General features: G+C 38.2%; 1 pseudogene across 1 annotated transcript in view; it reads right to left on the bottom strand.

The window, feature by feature from the left end:
• Positions 1 to 6,229: 6,229 nt before the first annotated feature.
• Positions 6,230 to 23,116, bottom strand: part of AQP7P3 (aquaporin 7 pseudogene 3) — a 34,987-nt pseudogene continuing 18,100 nt past the window's right edge. Inside the window, exons 3-4 of the transcript NR_026558.1 lie at positions 16,074 to 16,244; positions 6,230 to 6,469 (exon numbers count right to left, since the gene is read on the bottom strand). The product of NR_026558.1 is annotated as an aquaporin 7 pseudogene 3 (transcript). The remainder of the gene's footprint in view (positions 6,470 to 16,073; positions 16,245 to 23,116) is intronic.

The following is a 23,116-nucleotide window of genomic DNA, read 5'->3' as shown; positions in this document are numbered from 1 at the left end:
GTCTCACAGCTCTGTAAGCTAGAAGCCTGAAATCAAGGTGTTGGCAAGATTGTTTCCTTCTGAAAAGTTCTGACTTAAAGTCCGTTCCACATGTGTCTTCTAGTTTCTGGTGGTTGCCAGCAATTTTTGGTGTTCCTTGACTTGTGCATGCATCACCCCACTGTCTGCCTCTGTCATTACATGGCCTTCTTCCTTATATTTCTTTATGTCTCTCTGTGTCCATATTTTCTTTCTTTATAAAGAAACCAGTCATTGAATTAGGGCCCATCCCATTTCAATATGACCCTGTTTCAAAATAACATCTGCAATAACCTATTTCCAAATAAGGTCACATTCACAAGTATTGGGATTAGTATTTCATTTTGGAGACTCGATTCAACACACAATGACTATAAACAATCAGAATGTTAGTTTATTAATTTATAACAAGAACTATGTTATATAAAATAAAATTCTTACTTCAGCATAAACAGTACATACTTTCCACCCAAACGCACATCTGTATGGGAAAACAAAATGTAGTCACATGATAGCTGGGTATGTATTAGATCAGAAAAATAAAGTTCAATGATTAGAATATTTAACACCATCAAGCTAATATAAATGTGCACATGCATTTATTTTTATTGTAGGAAGGCTTACCAACTTAACTGGCAATTTCACTTGCCCAGACTTCCTGCCTCAGGAATTGGACTTCCACTTAGGTGGAAAAGAGATTTATGCCTTAAAGATTCATCTGTAGCTCAGTTTCCATAGGCAACTAATTCTCCTTTCATTGACAGACTCTTTCTATAACTATGTTAATAAATTCAGTTCCAACATAGTAAAATCCTCTGACTTTACCCCCCTTAGGTTAGTTTACAGTGCTTCAGAAGGCATTCTTTCTTCTCTTAGTTTTATATATTTATAAAGGGTTATATAAAACTAAGAGGGTTGTATTTTTGTAGCCATCTTTCTGATTATCCCCATGTACTGAGAATATGTGTGTGTGTGTGTATTGATACATTTTATTTAGATGTGTGTGTGTATATATATATATATATATATGCAAGACTATATGTATATAGTCTTGTCCTATTTGGAGGCCCATTAAAGTATTTTTTCTTCCCATTCTTTTACTTCAACTATGATATACAATTAATTCTGTTATACACACACACATACACATACATATACACATACATATATATGTACGTGTGTGTATACATATGTTTTAATAATCAAAGTTACAATTTATTTTGAACATATTATTTGCCAGAATTTATATGGCATACTTTGAATTCACTAACCTATTTAATCTTTAATATCTAAATGGGATAATTATTATTATTTATTTTTCAAAGATGGAGTAACAAAGGCTTCTGTTACCCCTCAATGTTGCCCATTCTCTACAGACTGTATAATAGAAGTTAAAATTATTTTTGCCCAACATCAAATATCTTGCATCATACTGCATTCCTTTCAGCAACCTGCATTTTTCAGCATCCTGCAATTTCCCTATAACCTGGAAATTTTGAACCTCCATGTCTTCGTGTGTAATATTTTCTGCATGAAAAATGTGTCATTTCAACTTATCTAACTCTTGCTTACTATCTAAGGTAAGGTAGAAGTGCCAACTTTTTCAAGGTTTTAGATAAAAGGTGAAAATAATAGTCTCTTGGTCCACACTCACATAGCCCTTTGTTTATATTAAACACTATATTATATTATGCTATATTAATAGTCAGCTGTTTATTCATCTCCTTCAGCAGACTCTAAAGGCCATTAGGGACTTGCTAATTCATTTACTAATTAATTAAAGAAATTTGAGGAGAATATCAAGAATAACCCTCTACTTGTTCCCGGCCACCATTCATCACTCACTTTCTTAATTGTTCATTCACAGTGTACATATACGGTGATGTCAGAAACGTTACACCATACTTCCATGAGAAACAACTTTATTAACTGGAGCACTGTGCTTGTATACACTTCCTTTCACCTTTAATTTTACAGTCTCCTCTCATTTCTGAAATTACTTATTTCAACGCATTTTTTCCCACCCATCTCAGTGAGGTTGTTTCATATATTTTCAATACAGTTATAATATTTTGTCACACTCTGCATTCCATCTTGCAATCCCTCTACTTCCTAAAGGATAGTTTTTTTTAAAGTTATATAAATTAATGTTTCCTCCTCAAGCTCAAAAACTCTTATGGATTTTGAGAAATGCATAATGTTATGTCCACCATTACAATATCATATAAAATAGTTTCAGTACAGTAAAAAATTTGTTTTCATGTTTCACATATTTAACCCTACTTCCTCTCCCCTCACCTCTGGAAGCACTAATCTTTTATACTATATTGTTTTGCCTTTTTTACCATGTCATATATTTAGCAATATATAATACGAGGCATTTGCTGACCAATTTCTTTCACAGAGCAATAAATATTGAATATTCATGTATTTATTCCTGTAGATTTATATTTATTTCTTTTTTCTGGATGTACCAGTATATCAATTCACTTACTTAAGGTTTAAGGCCATGTAGGTTGCTGTCCATTTTTGATAATTATAAAAAAGAACTCTGATAAACACTCACATTTTTATGTGATATAAATTGTCACATCATTGGGATAAATACCTAGAAGAATGATAGCTGAAGTACGTGGTGAGACGATATTTAGATTTGTAAGAAACTGCCAATCTGTCTTCCAGCGTGCAGTACCATTTTTAAAATTCCCTTCAGCAAACAGCTACTATTGCTCTACATTTTCACCAGAATTTGTAATACTTCGGTTCATGGATTTAAGCCATTTTAACTAATGTGTGGTAGTATCACAATTGTTTTAATTTGTGTTTCTCTAAAGAAAAAAAAATACTGAGCATATTTTTATATGCCAGTTGCCATGGGTATTTCGGGGGCAGGGGTGAGGTGTCTTTTCAGATTCTATGCACATTTGTAATTGGTTTGTTTGCTTTCTTATTATTCAGTTTTCAGAGTTATTTGTATGTTTAGATACCAATACTTTATTAGATATATGGTTTACAGATATTTTCTTCTAGTTTGTGGCTTGTCTTTTAACTCTCTGGAGTCTTTCACAGAGCAGAAAATTCCATTTTAAATTTAACAAACTCTAACATCATTTTTTCTTTTGTAGCTAGAACTTTTCGTATTAATATTATATCTAAAAATCCATTATCAAACCTAATGTCACTCATTACATGTAAAGCATGCTTTCTTTTTCAACTATTCTAGTGGTTCCCCAGAGTATCCAATACACATTTGTTACTAATCTAAGATCACCTTCAAATAGCACTCCACCAGTTCACATATAGTGCAGGTACCTTAATAAGAAGTTACAGCGTGCTGGCAGCCCTTGCTCGCTCTCCGTGTCTCCTCGGCCTGGACGTCCACTCTGGCCGCGCTTGAGGAGCCCTTCGCCCCACCGCTGCACTGTGGGAGCCCGTCTGTGGGCTGGCCAAGGCCGGAGCATGCTCCCTCTGCTTGCGGGGAGGTGTGGAGGGAGAGGCACAGGCGGGAACTGAGGCTGCGCGCGGCACACGCGGGGGCGGCCCTGCACTCAGAGCGGTCAGGCTGGTGCCACAGGCCCTGGGCAGTGAGGGGCTTAGCACCCAGGGCCAGCCGCTGCGGAGTATGCGCTGAGTTCCGCATCACTGCCAGCCCGCCCGCTCTAGGCTCGAATTCTTGCCAGGCCTCAGCCGCCTCGCTGTGGGGCAGGGCCCGGGACCTGCAGCCCGCCATGCCCGAGCCTTTCCCCGCCCGCGCCTTCCCCCGTGGGCTCCCAGCGGCCAGCGGGAGTCTCCCCAACGGCACTGCCCCCTGCTTCGTGGCGCCTGGTCCCATCAACCACCCAAGGGCTGACTAGTGCAGGCACCTGGCGTGGGACTGGCGGGCAGCTCCCCCAGCGGCCCCAGCGCCGGATCTGCTAGGCAAGCCAGCTGGGCTCCCCAGTGAGGTGGGGTCTTGGAGAACTTTTGTGTCTAGCTGGAGGATTGTATATGCGCCAATCAGCACTCTGTGTCTAGCTCAAGGTTTGTAAACGCACCAATCAGCACCCTGTCAAAACAGGCCAATCAGCTCTCTGCAAAATGGACCAATCAGCAGGATGTGGGTGGGGTCAGGTGAGGGAATAAAAGCAGGCTGCCACAAGGGACAGTGATAACCGGCTTGGGTCCGTTTCCGTGGTGTGGAGGGTTTGTGTTTTTGCTGTTTGCAGTAAATCTTGCTGCACACTCTTTGGGTCCACACTGCCTTTATGAGCTGTGACAACCACCGGGAAGGTCTGCAGCTTCACTCCTGAGGCCGGTGAGACCAGGAACCCACTGAGAGGAATGAATAACTCCAGACGTGCTGCCTTAAGAGCTGTAACACTCACCGCGAAGGTCTGCAGCTTCACTCCTGAAGCCAGCAAGACCACAAACCCACCAGAAGGAAGAAACTCCGAACACGTCTGAACGTCAGAACAAATTCCGGACACACCATCTTTAAGAACTGTAACACTCACCACTAGGGTCTGCAGCTTCATTCTTGAAGTCAGTGAGACCAAGAACCCACCAATTCTGGACACGTTAATAGAATAGTCCCAGTTCATCCTTCATATCTTTTGTAACATAACCATCAGGCATTTCACTTACCCACATCCTGTAATTGCCCAAAACATTTACTAATATTACTTTAAACAAACATGTAGTTTAAAAAGATTTACAATAAGAAAAATAAAAAATTTTTTTTCCTTTTTCAACATACTTGCTTTCTTATTGTAAATACAGGTTTCTGATCTATATCACTCTTCTCCTCCATGAATAACCTCTTTTAACACATTTGCAGGAAAGTTTTCTGGCAATATATTCCGTTAGTGTTTTATTGTCTGGTAAATTCTGATTTCCCCTCTGCTTTTGAAGTATAATTTTGCTAGATGTAGAATTCTAAGTTGGTGCATTTATTCCTAAACATTTCCCGCAACTCTCTTCTTTCTTGCCTGGTTTCTTACTGGAAGTGGGCTGAAATCCTTGCTCTTTTTTCTCTACAAGGAATGTAGTTTTCATTCCAGATTCTGTCAAGATTTTCTCTTTGTCTATTTATTGATTTATTTTATTTTATTTTATTCTACATATAGGAAATGCTATGTCTGGTGCTGTATTTTTGTTGTTTGTCATGAATTGTATTCTCTGAGCTTCCTGGACCGGTTGTTTGTTTCATGTCATTATGTTTTAAAATTTCTTGACCATTACTCATTTAGATAGATTCTCCTCATTTCTCTCTTTCTTGTCTTTCTGCTATTCCAGTTTCCCATTTTGTACAACTTTAGAAACTGCCCAGCGGGTCTTTGATGTCCTTCACTTTTTTTTTCCGTTTATTTTTTCTTGGCACTTTGTTTTAAAATGTATTTTTGACCTATCTTTAGTTTCACCAATTCTTTCCCCAAACATGTCTGGTCTACTAATGAAACCATTGAAAGCATTTTAAAAAAATCTATTGGCGTTATTTTAATTTCTAGCCTTTTATTTTGGTTCTTTGTTAGAATTTTCATCTCTCTGCTTATACTAATCATCTTTTATTGAATATTTTCTACATTTTCCACTAGTGTCCTTAACATCTTAATCATAGTTATGTAAATTTCTTGATTGCTATTTCCAAAATATGCATCATCATCACTGAGTCTTGTTCTGATGATCATCCTGTCTCTTCAGATTGTTAATTTTTTTCTTGCCTTTTACCATGTTTTGTAATTTTGTTGCCATTGTTGAGAGCCAGACATGTGGTATCCATAATAGATATTGAGATAAATTGATGCTGAGATAAATTGATACTGAGATAAAGTTAATTGAGGATATATGTTAATCTGTCTTGGAGTTGAACTGCATTTAATATTTGTTATAGCTCAAGTTTCTGAAGGTTTCAAATTCCTCTAGTGTCCTTGTTTTTGTCTCCTCCCTTAACTTTAGGTTTCCTTAAGTACTCATCTTCAAACAGTGTCTGTTTCTTATAGCTCTTTTGTCTGTCTCCTTATATTGGAGTCATGTTGGTTTAAATTTTATGGTATGAGCAGAGAAATATGTTCTACAGTGCTCTGATTGAATATCCGCCTTTCAGTGGGCCTATGTCTTAGGTTATGACTTTTACGAGTGTTTTGCCAGTAGTTTATCTTTTGTCCCTATTACAGGACTGCCAGATTCATATGCCCACTGAGCAGCAATAGACCAATACACTGAGACATCATAATTTGCAGCAGAAAAAGAGTTTAATAATCACAATGCCATTGGGCAAAGAGATGAAGGAATCCTCAAGCTTCACATCTGTCTGCTTGAGGGGTTCTGGGCCAGGGTTTTTAAGGGGATTGTGGCGGGTGAGGTTCTGGAGAATTGGGGTTGTCAATTGCTCAGGTCAAGGAAGATTAAATCATCATGATGTGAAAACTGCATTCTTCTGTGAGTCGGCTCCTTGCTGGGACCTTCAGATCAACTGGCATCAACAATTTTATCAGTATGCGTAACATAAAGGAGAAACTCAAACAGAAAGCATATCATCTCATGTGCCTTAGATCTTATCTATAGAAAAGAAAAGGAACACATTCTTGTGACAAGGGCTACACTATCTTGGGGGAGTAAGAAGTAACTAGCTACAAGGAAGTAGGCCAAATTGGGAAGTGGATTTCATGATTGCCACTGATTATTCTGCAAGCCTAGTTGAATTTTATTTTCTCCCTTAATTGGTTTATAAACTTTTCTTTGGGACAGTTTCATCCTTTATCCCCTTTAGATGAGAAAAGAAGGTTAAATGAGGAGGTGCCAAGATGGCCAATTAGAAGCAGCTGTGGTCTGTGACTCCCATCTAGAAGAACAAAAATGGCGAGTGAATTCTGCACCTTCATCTGAGGTATCCAGATTCTCTCACTGGGAGTGACAAGGTGATTGGCCTGACCCACAGGGAGCAAGGAAAAGCAGGGTGGAGCAATGCCTCACTTGGGAGCTGCATGGGGCAAGGGGCACTCCCACCCCCAGTCAAGGGAGGCAGTGAGTGATTGTGCTCCCTTTCCTGAGGAACCATGCTTTTTCCATGGATCTGTGCAACTCACAGATCAAGAGATCCCCTTGTGAGTCCACACCACCAGGGCCTTGGGTGCCAAGCACAGAGCTGTGCAGACTCTCATCACCGCTCAGGCTGTGGCCAGTGACAGCAGACTGGAGACTGTCTAAGATGACTGAGTTCCCAGGGGAAGGGGTGGTTGCTATCACTGTGGCATCAGTTGGCTGTTTTCCCCTGGTGGTGCTGGGGAGACAGGGAGGTTTAGACCGGGAGCACAGCAGCTGTGGCAGATCATGGCCAGACTGCTTTTTTAGGTGGAACCTGGATCCATCCCTACTCATTGGGTGGGGCCCCCTTGTGGGAATTTCACCAACTCCAGCCAGAGGTTTATGGACAGAACTCTGATCTTCCTGGGCAGAACTCCTGTGGGGAGGGACAGCCACAGTCTCTGCGGTTCAGCAGACTTAGTCTTTCCTGCCTGCTGGCTCTGAAGGGTCTGGACATTCTGGACAAGGGAGATTCCCTCCAGTGCAGTGCACCCTCTCTGCCAAGGGGCAGCCAGAGTGCTTTGTTAAGTGGTCCCCGATCCTGTACATACTCCCTAACTGATTGAGACCACCAACAGGGGTCTCCAGGCACCTTATACAGGAGTGTTCCTGCTGGCATCACATCAGTGCCCCTCTGGGATGGAGCTCAAAAAAGAAGGAGCAGGCAGCCATCCTTGCTGTTCTGCAGCTTCCACTGGTGACACCTCCAGGTAGGGGAGGGACCAAGTGAATAGGGTCTGGAGTGGACCCCCAGCAAACTGCGGCAGCCCTAAGGAAGAGGGGTCTGACTGTTGAAAGAAAAACAAACAAACAGAAAACAACAACAACAAAAACATCCACAAAAATGGCCCCACAAAAACCCCTTCCAAAGATCAGCAGCCTCAAAGATCGAAGATAGATAAGCTCATGAAGATGAGAAAGAATCAATGCAAAAATGCTGAAAACTCAAAAAGCCAGAATGCCTCTTCTCCTCCAAATGATTGCAACACCTCTCCAGCAAGGGCACAGAACTGGGTGGAGGCTTGAGGTGGATGAACTGATAGAAGTATTCTTCAGAAGGTGGGTAATAACAAATTTTGCTGAGCTAAAGTATATTCTAAAACAATTCAAAGACGCTAATAACCATGAAAACATTATAGGAACTGTAAACCAGAATAACCAGTTTATAGAGGAACATAAATGACCTGATGGACCTGAAAAACACAACACCAGAACTTCACAATGCAACCACAAGCATAAATAACTGAATAGACCAAGCAGAGGAAAGAATCTCAGAGCTCAAAGACTATCTTGCTGGAATAAGACAGGCAGATAAGATTAGAGAAAAAACTGAAAAGGAATGAAAAATAATCAGAGAACTATGGAATTATGTAAAAAGACCAAACCTACAACTGATTGGGGTACCTGAAAGAAATGAGGAGAATGAAACCAAGTTGGAAAACATACTTCAGGAAATCATTCAGGAGAATTTCCCCAACCCAGCAAGACAGGCCAACATTCAAATTCAGGAAATTCAGAGGACTTCAGTAAGATCCATGAGAAGATCAACCCAAAACACATAATTGTCAGTATCTCCAAGGTCAAAATGAAGGAAAATTGTTAAGAGCCACGTCACCTAGAAAAGGAAGTCCATCAGAATAACAGTGGACTCCTCAGCAGAAACCCCATAAGCCAGAAGAAATTGGGGGCTAATATTCAACAGTCTTTTTTTTTTATACTTTAAGTTTTAGGGTACATGTGCACATTGTTCAGGTTAGTTACATATGTATACATGTGCCATGCTGGTGCGCTGCACCCACTAACTCATCATCTAGCATTAGGTATATCTCCCAATGCTATCCCTCCCCCCTCCCCCCACCCCACAACAGTCCCCAGAGTGTGATATTGCCCTTCCTGTGTCCATGTGATCTCATTGTTCAATTCCCACCTATGAGTGAGAATATGCAGTGTTTGGTTGTTTGTTCTTGCGATAGTTTACTGAGAATGATGATTTCCAATTTCATCCATGTCCCTACAAAGGACATGAACTCATCATTTTTTATGGCTGCATAGTATTCCATGATGTATATGTGCCACATTTTCTGAATCCAGTCTATCATTGTTGGACATTTGAGTTGGTTCCAAGTCTTTGCTATTGTGAATAATGCCGCAATAAACATACGTGTGCATGTGTCTTTATAGCAGCATGATTTATAGTCCTTTGGGTATATACCCAGTAATGGAATGGCTGGGTCAAATGGTATTTCCACTTCTAGATCCCTGAGGAATCGCCACACTGACTTCCACAATGGTTGAACTAGTTTACAGTCCCACCAACAGTGTAAAAGTGTTCCTATTTCTCCACATCCTCTCCAGCACCTGTTGTTTCCTGACTTTTTAATGATTGCCATTCTAACTGGTGTGAGATGGTATCTCATTGTGGTTTTGATTTGCATTTCTCTGATGGCCAGTGATGATGAGCATTTTTTCATGTGTTTTTTGGCTGCATAAATGTCTTCTTTTGAGAAGTGTCTGTTCATGTCCTCCGCCCACTTTTTGATGGGGTTGTTTGTTTTTTTCTTGTAAATTTGTTTGAGTTCATTGTAGATTCTGGATATTAGCCCTTTGTCAGATGAGTAGGTTGCGAAAATTTTCTCCCATTTTGTAGGTTGCCTGTTCACTCTGATGGTAGTTTCTTTTGCTGTGCAGAAGCTCTTTAGTTTAATTAGATCCCATTTGTCAATTTTGTCTTTTGTTTCCATTGCTTTAACTCATTTTATGAGGCCAGCATCATTCTGATACCAAAGCCAGGCAGAGACACAACAAAAAAAGATAATTTTAGACCAATATCCTTGATGAACATTGATGCAAAAATCCTCAATAAAATACTGGCAAAACGAATCCAGCAGCACATCAAAAAGCTTATCCACCATGATCAAGTGGGCTTCATCCCTGGGATGCAAGGCTGGTTCAATATATGCAAATCAATAAATGTAATCCAGCATATAAACAGAGCCAAAGACAAAAACCACATGATTATCTCAATAGATGCAGAAAAAGCCTTTGACAAAATTCAACAACCCTTCATGCTAAAAACTTTCAATAAATTAGGTATTGATGGGATGTATTTCAAAATAATAAGAGCTATCTATGACAAACCCACAGCCAATATCATACTGAATGGGCAAAAACTGGAAGCATTCCCTTTGAAAACTGGCACAAGACAGGGATGCCCTCTCTCACCACTCCTATTCAACATAGTTTTGGAAGTTCTGGCCAGGGCAATTAGGCAGGAGAAGGAAATAAAGGGTATTCAATTAGGAAAAGAGGAAGTCAAATTGTCTCTGTTTGCAGACGACATGATTGTATATCTAGAAAACCCCATTGTCTCAGCCCAAAATCTCCTTAAGCTGATGAGCAACTTCAGCAAAGTCTCAGGATACAAAATCAATGTACAAAAATCACAAGCATTCTTATACACCAAAAAGAGACAAACAGAGAGACAAATCATGAGTGAACTCCCATTCACAACTGCTTCAAAGAGAATAAAATACCTAGGAATCCAACTTACAAGGGATGTGAAGGACCTCTTCAAGGAGAACTACAAACTACTGCTCAAAGAAATAAAAGAGGATACAAACAAATGGAAGAACATTCCATGCTCATGGGTAGGAAGAATCAATCTCGTGAAAATGGCCATACTGCCCAAGGTAATTTACAGATTCAATGCCATCCCCATCAAGCTACCAATGACTTTCTTCACAGAATTGGAAAAAACTACTTTAAAGTTCATATGGAACCAAAAAAGAGCCCGCATCGCCAAGTCAATCCTAAGCCAAAAGAACAAAGCTGGAGGCATCACGCTACCTGACTTCAAACTATACTAGAAGGCTACAGTAACCAAAACAGCATGGTACTGGTACCAAAACAGATATATAGATCAATGGAACAGAACAGAGCCCTCAGAAATAACGCCACATATCTACAACTATCTGATCTTTGACAAACCTGACAAAAACAAGCAATGGGGAAAGGATTCCCTATTTAATAAATGGTGCTGGGAAAACTGGCTAGCCATATGTAGAAAGCTGAAACTGGATCCCTTCCTTACACCTTATACAAAAATCAATTCAAGATGGATTAAAGAGTTAAACGTTAGACCTAAAACCATAAAAACCCTAGAAGAAAACCTAGGCATTACCATTCAGGACATAGGCATGGGCAAGGACTTCATGTCAACAGTCTTAAAGAAAAGAATTTCCAGCTCAGAATTTCATATCTGGCCAAACTAAGCTTCATGAGCAAAGAAGAAATAAAATCCTTCTCAGACAAGCAAATACTCAGGGAATTCATCACAACCAAGACTGCCTTGCAAGAGCTCCTAAAGGAAGCACTGAATATGGAAGGGAAAAACCATTACCGGCCACTACAAAAACACAGTAAAGTACACAGACCAATAATATTATGAAGCAACAACATTAACAAGTCTGCAAAATAACCAGATAGCATCATAATCACAGGACCAAATTCACACATAAGAATATTAACCTTAAATGTAAATGGACTGAATGTCCCAATTAAAAGACAAAGACTGGCAAACTGGATAGTCAAGACCCACCAGTGTGCTGTATTCAGGTGAACCATCTCATATGCAAAGACACACATAGGCTCAAAATAAAGAGATGGAGGAAAATTTACCAAGCAAACGGAAAGCAGGAAAAGGAGGGGTTGCAATTCTAGTGTTTGAGAAAACAGGCTTTAAATCAACAAAGATAAAAAAAGACAAAGAAGGGAATTACATAATGGTTAAGTATTCAGTTCATCAAGAAGAGGTAACTATCCTAAATACACATGCACCCAATTCTAGAGGACCCAGATTCATAAAACAAGTTCCTAGAGAACTACAAAGACATTTAGACTCTCACATAATAATAGTGGGAGACTTTAACACCCCACTGTCAATATTAGACAAATTATCAAGACAGAAAGTTAACAAGGATATTCAGGACTCAAACAGCTGTAGATCAAGTGGACCTGATAAGTATCTACAGAACTCTCCATTCAAAAACAACAGAATATACATTCATCTTGGAGCTACATGGCACTTACTCTAAAATCGATCACATAATTGGAAGTAAAACACTCCTCTGCAAATGCAAAATAACTAAAATCTTGATAGTCTCTCAGACCACAGTACAATCAAATTAGAACTCAAAATTAAGAAACTCACTCAAAACCACACAACTACATAGAAATGTAACATCCTGCTTCTGAATGACTACTGGGTAAAAAATGAAATTAAGGCAGAAGTCAAGAAGTTATTTGAAACTAATGAGAACAAAGAGACAATGTCCCAGAATCTCTGGGATACAGCTAAAACAGCATTGAGGAAATGTATAGCACTAAATATCCACATCAGAAATATCTCAAGTCAACATCCTAACATCACAGTTTAAAGAACTAGAGAACCAAGAACAAACAAACCCCAAAGCTAGCAGAAGGCAAGAAATAAGTAAGATCAGAGCAAAACTAAAGGAGATTGAGACAGGAAAAACCCTTCAAAAAATCAACAAATCCAGGAACTGTTTTTTTGAAAAAAATTAACAAAATAGACTTTTAGCTACACTAATAAGAAAAGAGAGAAGATCAAATAGACACAATAAAAAATGATAAAGGGGATATGAACACTGAGTTTACAGAAATACAAACAACCATCAGAGAATACTATAAACACCTCTATGCAAATAAATTAGAAAATCTAGAAGAAATGGATAAATTCCTGGACACATAAACTCCCAAGATTGAACCAGGAAGAAGTTGAATCCCTGAATAGACCAATAACAAGTTCTGAAATTAAGGCAGTAATATATAGCCTACCAACCAATGAAAGACCAGGACCAGATGGAATTATGGTGGAATTCTACCAGATGTACAAAGAGGAGCCAGTGCTATTTCTTCTGAAACTATTCCAAATGATTGAAGAGGAGAGACTCCTCCCTAATTCATGTTATGAGGCCAGCATCATCCTGATACCAAAGCCTGGGAGAGATACAACAAAACAAGACAACTTCAGGCCAATATCCCTGATGAACATCGATGCAAAAATCCTCAATAAAATACTGGCAAGCCAAATCCAGCAGCACATCCAAAAGCTTATCCACCACAATCAAGTTGGCTTCATCCCCGGGATACAAGGCTGTTTCAACATATGCAAATCAATAAATGTAATCCATTACATAAACAGAACTAAAGATAAAAACCTCATAATTATCTCAATAGATGCAGAAAAGGCCTTTCAACAACACTTCATGTTAAAATTCAACATCCCTTCATTTTAAAAACTCTCAATAAACTAGGTATTGAAGGACCATACCTCAAAATATTAAGAGCCATTTATGACAAACTAACAACCCATATCATACTGAATGGGAAAAAGCTGTGAGCATTTTCATTGAAAAGAGGCACATGACAAGGATGCTCTTTCTTACCACTCCTATTCAACATATTATTGGAAGTTCTGGCCAGAACAATTAAGCAAGAGAAAGAAACAAATGGTATTCAAATAGGAAGAGAGGAAGCCAAATTGTCTCTGCAGATGACATGATCCTTTATCTAGAAAACCCCATTGTCTCAACCCCATTGTCAGCAAAATCTCAGGATAAAAAATCAATGTGTGAAAATCACAAGGATTCCTGCACACTAACAACAGACAAGCAGAGAGCCAAATCATGAAAGAACTCCAATTCCACAATTGTTACAGAGAATAAAATACCTAGGAATACAGCTAAGAAGGGAAGTGATAGAAAGAACCAATATGATTAAAATGGCCATACTACCCAAAGTAATTTATAGATTCAATGCTATTCCCCTTATACTAACATTGACATTTTTCACAGAATTAGAATAATCTGTTTTAAAATTCATATGGACAAAAAAGAGTCTGTAGAGCCAAGATAATATTAAGCAAAAATAGCAAAGCTGGGGGGATCATGCTACCTTACTTCAAACTACACTACAAGGCTACCAAACCAGCATGTAAACAAAACAGCATAGTGGTGGTGCAAAAACAGACTCATAGACCAATAGAACAGAATTGAGAACTCAGAAATAAGACCACACAGCTACAACCATCTGATCTTCAACAAACCTGACAAACACAAGTAATGGGGAAAGGATTTTCTATTTAATTAATGGTGCTGGAAGAACTATGGAAGAACTTTAGCCATATGCAGAAAATTGAAACTGGACCCCCTTCCTTACACGTTATACAAAAATTAGCTCAAGATAGGTTAAAGACTTAAGTGTAAAATCCAAAACTATAAAAACCCTAGAAGAAAATCTAGGCAATACCATTCAGGACATAGGCATAGGCAAAGATTTCATGACAAAAATGCCAAAAACAATAGCAACAAAAGCAGAAATTAACAAATGGGGTCTAATTAAACTAAAGAGCTTCTGCTCAGCAAAAGAAACTATCATCACAGTGAACAGACAACCTACAGAATGGGAGAAAAATTTGCTATTTATCCATCCGACAAAGGTCTAATATCCAGAATTTACAGGGAACTTAAACAAATTTACAAGAAAAAAACAGACAATCCTATTAAACAGTGGGCAAAGGACATGAACAGGCACTTCTCAAAAGAAGACATTTATGTGGCCAACAAACATGCAAAAAAAAAGTTCAACATCACTAATCATTAGAGAAATGCAAATCAAAACCACAATGAGATACCATCTCACACTAGTCAGAATGGTGATTATTAAAAAGTCAAGAAACAACTGATACTGTTGAGGCTGCAGAGAAATAGGAATGCTTTTACACTGTTGGTAGGAATGTAAATTAGTTCAACTATTGTGGAAGACTGTGGCAATTCCTCGAAGTCCTAGAACCAGAAATACCATTTGACCCAGCAATCCCATTACTAGGTATGTACCCAAAGGAATATAAATCATTTTATTATAAAGATACATGCATGTGTGTGTTCATTGCAGCACTATTCACAATAGCTAATACATGAAATCAACCCAAATGCCCATCAATGATAGACTGGGTAAATAAAATGTGGTACATATACAACATGGAATACTATGCAGCCATAAAAGGAAATGAGATCAAGTCCTTTGCAGGGACATGGATGGAGCTGAAAGCCATTATCCTCAGCAAACTAATGCAGGAACAGAAAACCTTGAAATATGAGCTATAATGAGGGGCACTAGAGGTACTTGGCTTTAAAAAGACATAGGTGCAGTGACATGATGTTAGTTACATAGCCTTTGAAGTCATGTTGTGTGAAAGAGCAGTTGGATATTGATGTTGGCTACCAAAACCAATGGGTAGGCATTTAGATTTTGGTTCACTAGAAAACCTGAACTATCTATCGATTAAGCTCTCAAAAACTAAATAGACTGCTGTCTCCTAAATAAAATATGTCTCCCACTGTGGAAATGTCATTGATTTTCAATTTGTATAGCTTTTATTATTATTATTATTGTAAGGCCAGGAATGACAACTTCTGAGCCCTTCACATGTTGGTGATAAATCCAAAAGTCCTGTAATGTATTTGTTTTCTCATTTTTTAAAACCAAATATTTGAAGCTATTTTATTAAGGGTTTCCTTTTCCTCAAAAAGTAAATGCATTAAATATAATCTAGATATTCTACACTCATGAGAAAGATATTTCATTGTATATAACCAGAGCTATAGGCCTACAAACATTTGGACTTTATCAGAGGTAAATAATAAGAGATAATACTATTCGTTAAAATTAAAGTATAAATTTAGATCATTTTTAATTGGTTATTTTTTAAAGCTGACATAACTTTAATTTACAATGTAAACTCAGGAGTGAAAGAGCATTAAGTAACTCATGATCTGTAAAGAAAATTTCAAAATTTAAGGTAAGTAATGAGATTTCCCCATATTTCTGTGTTTAATTCATCAATGTTTTTAAAATACTTAAACCAGCTAAGAAGTGTGTTCAGGTTTCTATTTATTTTAAAAGTGACTTACGTATTTTTCTCACAAGGGAGGATGATTGTAGAGGAGTTTAGAGCCTGCATCGTGGTTCCAAGTTAGCATCACCGTTCCTGGTCCTTCCATCTTTCTGCTTAGTCATATTTAACTTGTGTTTATTTCTTCATGATCAGAATATGTGTCTTTCTCAACTATCATATGTATGTTCTAGGTAGAAAGGAGAAAAACAAGAATTTATGTTGTTCTGTCAAATTATAGAAAGTTTATTTGATAATAAATCAACTGTTAAAAAGTACCCCTTAAAAGTATAGTAAGTATACAATATTAAAAGAAAGCATGGGACTTTGCACAATTGTGAAATCTATTGAGAATTTTGTAAGTTTTTAAATTTTGATCTGTGCTGTCATTTATTAATTCAGTCAAAATTTGCTTCAAAAACACATAGTTGTCAGAATATGTAAGTGCCTTAGAAGAGTGCAATCTATAAGTAAAATAATTCTGAATATTCATCTGAAATAGTTTGAAAAGGTTTTGAAAATCTACTGTCTCTCTTATTTCTTGTAATCAACATATTTCTCAATAGGAAAATTCACCATTTGCCATCAAAATGTATTGTCTGAAACTTCCACTGGAACCTTCATATGGCAAAATATTTAGGCATTCTGAGGAGATGCAAAGTTTGCTAAGCAGAATAAATGTGTTTTAATATTTAATAATTATAAATGATATTTGGAAAATTATAAAGATGTTCTTAGTTCAATTAATAGAGTAAGATTTATATATCTATTAAGAGTGCTGGGCCAGACAGGGTGGCTCACGCCTGTAACCCCAGCACTTTGGAAGCCCGAGACGGGAGGATCACCTGAGGTCAGGAGTTTGAGACCAGCCTGGCCAACATGGTGAAACCCCATCTCTACTAAAAATACAAAAATTAGCAGGGCATGGTGGTGCTTGCCTGTAATCCCAGCTACTGAGGAGGCTAAGGCAGGAGAATTGCTTAAACTCGGGACATTTCAATGAGCTGAGATCTAGCCACTGCATTCCAGCCTGGGCAACACAGTGAAACTCCGTCTCAAAACAAAACAAAAAAAAAACAAAAGTGCAGGCAACACATTATAATCAATATTAAAAGTTTTTATGTTGAAAGATGGATAAGAATTAAAACTTTGATTTTTCAACTGAGATATTTAGTTGAGATATTTGAAATTACTGGAAAGCAAAAGGAAATTTTAATGTACTGCGGAGTAGCCTCGGGTAGTATGTGTATGTATTTCTACTAAATGCAAAAGAAAGTACCAGATAAAAATGCAATAGGCTTCTACTTCTAGTTCAGGATGGGAAAAGATGGGGAAGACCAAAAAAGATCTGCATAATGCACAAATCCATGTGATTTCTGAAGGGAGTGGACACGATCAGTCTTGATAAACTGATAACTAGTTAGTGGATCTGCAGGTTTCATCTGAGGTATTTTCTTTTAGATGATTTGTGTAGTGACTAAAAAACAGTCAATACATTTAAATAAACTGCACATTGTGCACATGTACTCTAAAACTTAAAGTATAATAAAAAAATAATACAATAAATAAATAAACTTATTTTCTGGTTTAGTAATTGAGGTTGGCCAATGTCTATTATTAATTGTTAACTATTTCCTAATCAATAATCTGTCTTATATTAAACTGTACATACACTTTACAAGAAATTTCAGTTACACTCACACATAACTGAATAACATATTTAATGCTTATATAGGCATGCATATAATGTTAAAATCTAGATATAAAAATAAGAAAATGAAACCATAATTTTTAAGTAATGGAACTTGTTCCAAAAGATCAAATGTGGTTATGCATTGGTATGACAATTCTGAATCCTGCACTCAGGCAGCATCTGAACACTGTTTTATTAGCTATCAATAAATTGTCTGCACTGCAGGCCGATGATGGTTTAAGGACAGCAGTGTTAATAATAATGTTCAAAGTGTCAGTCTGGAGGGGAGGCAATAATTGACTGTATGAGACTATTAAGCTATAAAAACAATGTTTTATTTTGAGCATCAAAATATGATAGACAGAGCTTCAAATGCTCTTGGTGAAGTCATTATTAACACATACAAAACTGATTTTCATTCAACATTTACTGTAGAGAAAATTATATTCCATCAGGCTTTAAAATTGAGAAGAAAACAGAAAGAGTAAGTCTTAAATTCCTTTCTTCCTCACCTTCCTCCTTCACCTAGTTTGCCTGCGGACCTACACTGTTACATTCCCACATACCTCCTGTGTGTATTTCTTTGCAGATCATTTACCTTACATTTCTACATTTCCCCTTAATTTTTTCCTCATCAATAGATGAGAAAAAAAATTTGTTAAATCATGGTAGATGAATATGGACCAGATCATCCCATGAACTACGTTCAATCATTGGTTTTACCTTTCAAAAAATTCTGAATGAAATATGTAATAATTTAATATTCTAAAACTTTATTTTTTCAGGAATATTTACATATATTCACCCTTCCTTCTAAAACAGTGGCCAGAGCAGTTAGAAAACAAAAGCATGAGAAACAGTAACTCTTACAGTTGTATTATGCCTGTATGCCTTCCCAGTTCTGCAAAGATTATGAGGATTTTTTTAGGTCTGTACATAGTTTTAAAATATCCTAAAACAATCCACATAAATAAACTCATTACCATAATAATCTGCAAGATAGACATTGTCATCCTCAAGTAATATCAAATAAATCTTATTTGCCTGCAAGATCTGAATCTGAAAATCCCAAAGCTCAAGTTTACCTAGCTAATAGGTAGTAAGACTGGGGCCTCAATCTGGTTTATCTAATTCTGAAAAGTGTTTTGCTATAAAAGCACTATAGGAAATAAAACATTAGACTTTATACCTTTAGATAATAAGAATATTTATGTCATTGAACCTGAAAAGATACTGTTTAACTTTCATGTTCTACTTGTCATTTTTCTTTTCTGCTTTTATATGTAATTTAGGTAATAGATACCCAGGAATCAACTTAAATTCCCATCAGTGGTAGACTGGAAAAAGAAAGTACGGTACATATACACCATGAATTACTATGCAGCCATAAAAAAGAATGAGATCTGTCCTTTGCGGCAACATGGATGGAGCTTGGAGGCCATTATCCTTAGCAAAGTAACACAGGATCAGAAAACCCAATACTCCCTATTTTCACTTATCACTGGGAGCTAAATAATGAGAACACATTGACTGAAAGAGCAGCACAATAGACACTAGGGTGTGCTTGAGGGAGGAGGATGAGAGATGGGTGAGGTTCAGGGAAAAAAAAATTGTTGGGTACTATGCTTACTACTCAGGTGACAAAATAATCTGTACATCAAACCCCTGAGTCACGAATTTACCTAAAGAACAAACCTCCACACGTTCCCATGAACCTAAAAGTTAAAATATTTAAAATAATAATAATAATTTTAAAATGTGAAATGTTGTGATAATTACTAAAATGTCAAATAGAGACACAAGGTGAGCACGTTGTTGGAAAAATAGAATGAATAGACTTGCTTGATGCAAGATTGCCACAAACCTTCAATTTGTGAAAAATGTGTTATTTGTGAAGAGCTATAAAGTGAAGCACACGCAAAAAAAGTGAGTTTGATTAATGCAATTCATTGTTGCTGAAAGATACCTTGAAATATGAGCTATAATGAGGGGCACTAGAGGTACTTGGCTTTAAAAAGACATAGGTGCAGTGGCATGATGTTAGTTACATAGCCTTTGAAGCCATGTTGTATGAAAGAGCAGTTGGATATTGACGTTGGCTACGAAAACCAATGGGTAGGCATTTAGATTTTGGTTCAGTAGAAAATCTGAACCATCTATCGATTAAGCTCTCAAAAACTAAATAGACTGCTGCCTCCTAAATAAAATATGTCTCCCACCATGGAAATGTCAAGCTAGGGTCACAATTCAAGTAATGTAAATATGAATCTAATGACTTCCAAGATGCTTTTCCAACTTAAAGTGTTAGACAAGTACCTTTTAAAACAGTATACCATTTGAATTACCTGCAACCATTTTAATATTTCTGAGAGGGTTTTTTTTGTGTGTGCTCCTTCTTTCATCACATGGAGAGTTATTTTGCCTTTTAGGGTAAAATATAAAAACAAATGCACGTCACAATATGATGTGGCAAACGTTACCCAGAAGCCTTAGTGATGTTGTTGCGATGGTATTAGCATGCACAGAGTATGCAACTCGCAGCTCTGCTGTGTGCACTTGTTCTTTTGCTTTCTCTCATGTGTTCTGCTCCATATATTTTAAGAGAGTTTAATGTGGGTGTTCCAATTCAATCCCATTAGAGTACTATGTATATTATTGTTACTAAACCTTGCCTTCATAATCATTCCTAAGTATGTGGTCTATTGAAAAGCAATCATTTATATCTTTAGGAGGATGAATGGGAAGTCACAGATCTAGAACAATAATCAACTTGAACTCATGCTGCTAGCACAGGTATGGATTTTTAATATAATCTCAGGCAGGGAAGTGCTTGCAGGCATGTTTTCTCAGTCAGGAGCTGAGAGCATATGCACGATGGCAGACACAAGGTAACTACCCTTTGGCTGGTTGAAAGATGAAGTCATTATAAAGCTGGATTTTAAACCAAATGTAGTGCTGGCTGCTGTCTGAACTTACCTAAAACATACACTATATTTTAAAAAGAAGGCTGAGAGTCACAGAAGTAAAACAAATAAATTCCAAAGTTGGTGTTTTATATTATCATTTATCTGCAATAAGTGATAATTGATATTCCAAAAATATACTTTGCTTTGAATTCAAATTGTTTATTTTGAACAATTAGTGAGTTCATCTCTGCACATGCCTAAAGAAGATAAATCAATAAATAAAAGAATAAAAATTAAAACTCTATATAATAAACACTTGATTTCTTAGTCCTGATTTCTCTTTTATTATGAAGACCAGAAGCAGAATGTTATTCTATTTTACCTAAAAATATATATATGATCTTTAGAAACTCCTTGTCAGCAATCATCTATCTGTGTGTGGGTATATATATATATATATATATCTCATACAAACAATATGTATCACATTTATATGTTATCAAGCACAATCATATAATAAACTCACAAATGTCCAACTCCAAAACTAGAAAATTATTAATAGCTTGTACTACTCCTGTGTTCTTCCCCATCTGCCTGTAGGAATTATTTCTTTTTCTAAAGTAGTTTTCTTACATACATATATATATATCAAAGAATGTGTTTTTGCTTATTTTTCAGCTACAAGTTTGTGTCACACTGTATATAGTCTACCGTATTACTTTTTTTTTTTTTTTTTGAGACGCAGTCTCACTCTGTCACCCAGGCTGGAGTGCAGTGGCACAATCTCCATTCACTGCAACCTCCGCCTCCCGGGTTCAAGGGATTCTCTCCTGCCTCAGCCTTTTGAGCAGCTGGGATTACAGGTGCCCAACTACACCAGGCTTTTTTTTTTTTTTTTTTTTTGAGACCGAGTCTCGCTCTGTCGCCAGGCTGGAATGCAGTGATGTGATCTTGGCTCACTGCAACCTCCGCCTCCCAGGTTTAAGCAGTTCTCGCACCTCAACCTCCCGAGTAGCTGGGACTACAGGTGTGTGCCATAACACCCGGCTAATTTTTGTATTTTTAGTAGAGACAGGGTTTCACCATGTTGGCCAGGATGGTCTTGATCTCTTGACCTCGTGATCCACCCACCTTGGCCTCCCAAAGTGCTGGGATTACAGGTGTGAACCACCACACCCAGCTACTGTATTACTTTTTATGCCTCCAGAATTTTTCTGTGTTGTTGCAGGTGTCTGTTGTGCCTTAATTTTTGCTATTGTAGAGGATTCTATTATGTGCAATTGCGCAGCAGTGTATGTATCTGTTCCCCTGTGGATGGACATTTGGGTTGTGTCCAGTGTCTCTTGACCACCTACCTTGTGCCATGCCCCCGACCCTCCTGCCATTACTCCACAATCTAGCTACATCCACAAAGCCATGACTTCACAAAACCCTGTCTTCCACTTCTGAGCTCCAGACCATATAAAAGGCATAATGGTGTTTATTGAGCACTTACTCTGAGCTAGAAACGATTCTCAACATTTTACATGTGGTAGCGCATTTAATATTCACAGCAACACAAATGGGAAGTAATATTCTTATCACCGTTTTACAAATGAGAAGACCAAGGCCCAGAAGAGTTGAATATCTTGCTCAAGATCACACACCTTTTGCCACCCCCCATTCCAAGTCCCATAGGCAACTCAGACTCAGCACATCCATGATGTAACTTATCATCTTCCTCTCCAAACAATTTCCTCACTTGTGCCCTACTCTCAGTGGGGACATCTCCAATCCCCAGGCCCAAGCTGGAAACCGGAAGCCATTTCTGACTCCTCCCTCACCCACTCCATCCAAATGGAGCCCAAGTCCTGTACATTGTACTTCTCGGGTATTGATCAATCCCGGCCCTTGTCTCCACGCCCACGGTGCTGACCCATTGTTAGGTGCCCGGCTGCTGCTCCTGGGTCATCACTTCCCAGCACTCTCTTCGCAGGCCCATCTCCACCATTTCCAGCATCCTACACACTGCGGCTCAGGTGTGCTTTCTAAACCTCACCTCACCATGTCCCCACCTCCAGAATGAAGCCCAGCCTCCTCTGCCCATCCCCTCAAACTGTAAAGTGCAATCCCAGCCCCAAAAAGGACACCCCCCACCACAATACCCTGCTCTGTCTCCTCCTCTGGGAAGCCTCCTGGCCTTGGCCCAGAGGCTGGATGTGAGCTCCCCCACCCCAAGCCCCACAGCCTCCAAGCCTCCCACTCTGCACTCACCTTCTTCCTTATAATTACCTGTCACCCATTAAACTGCAACCCTCAAAGGCAGAGCCCAGTGCATCCACTGCGCATCCCCAGTGTCCAGGCAGGGCCTGCACACAGTAGGTGCACAATAATTGTTGAAAGGCAAAATACATGAGCAATGACAGGAACCATGGGTGATACTGCCTTCTGAGCCCCAGGCAACAGAGTGATTCCTGCCTGGCC

The sequence above is a fragment of the Homo sapiens genome, chromosome 9 (assembly GCF_000001405.40).
Source record: "Homo sapiens chromosome 9, GRCh38.p14 Primary Assembly".
Classification (NCBI taxonomy): Eukaryota; Metazoa; Chordata; class Mammalia; order Primates; family Hominidae; genus Homo; species Homo sapiens.
This window is presented reverse-complemented; position numbering and strand designations above follow the sequence as displayed.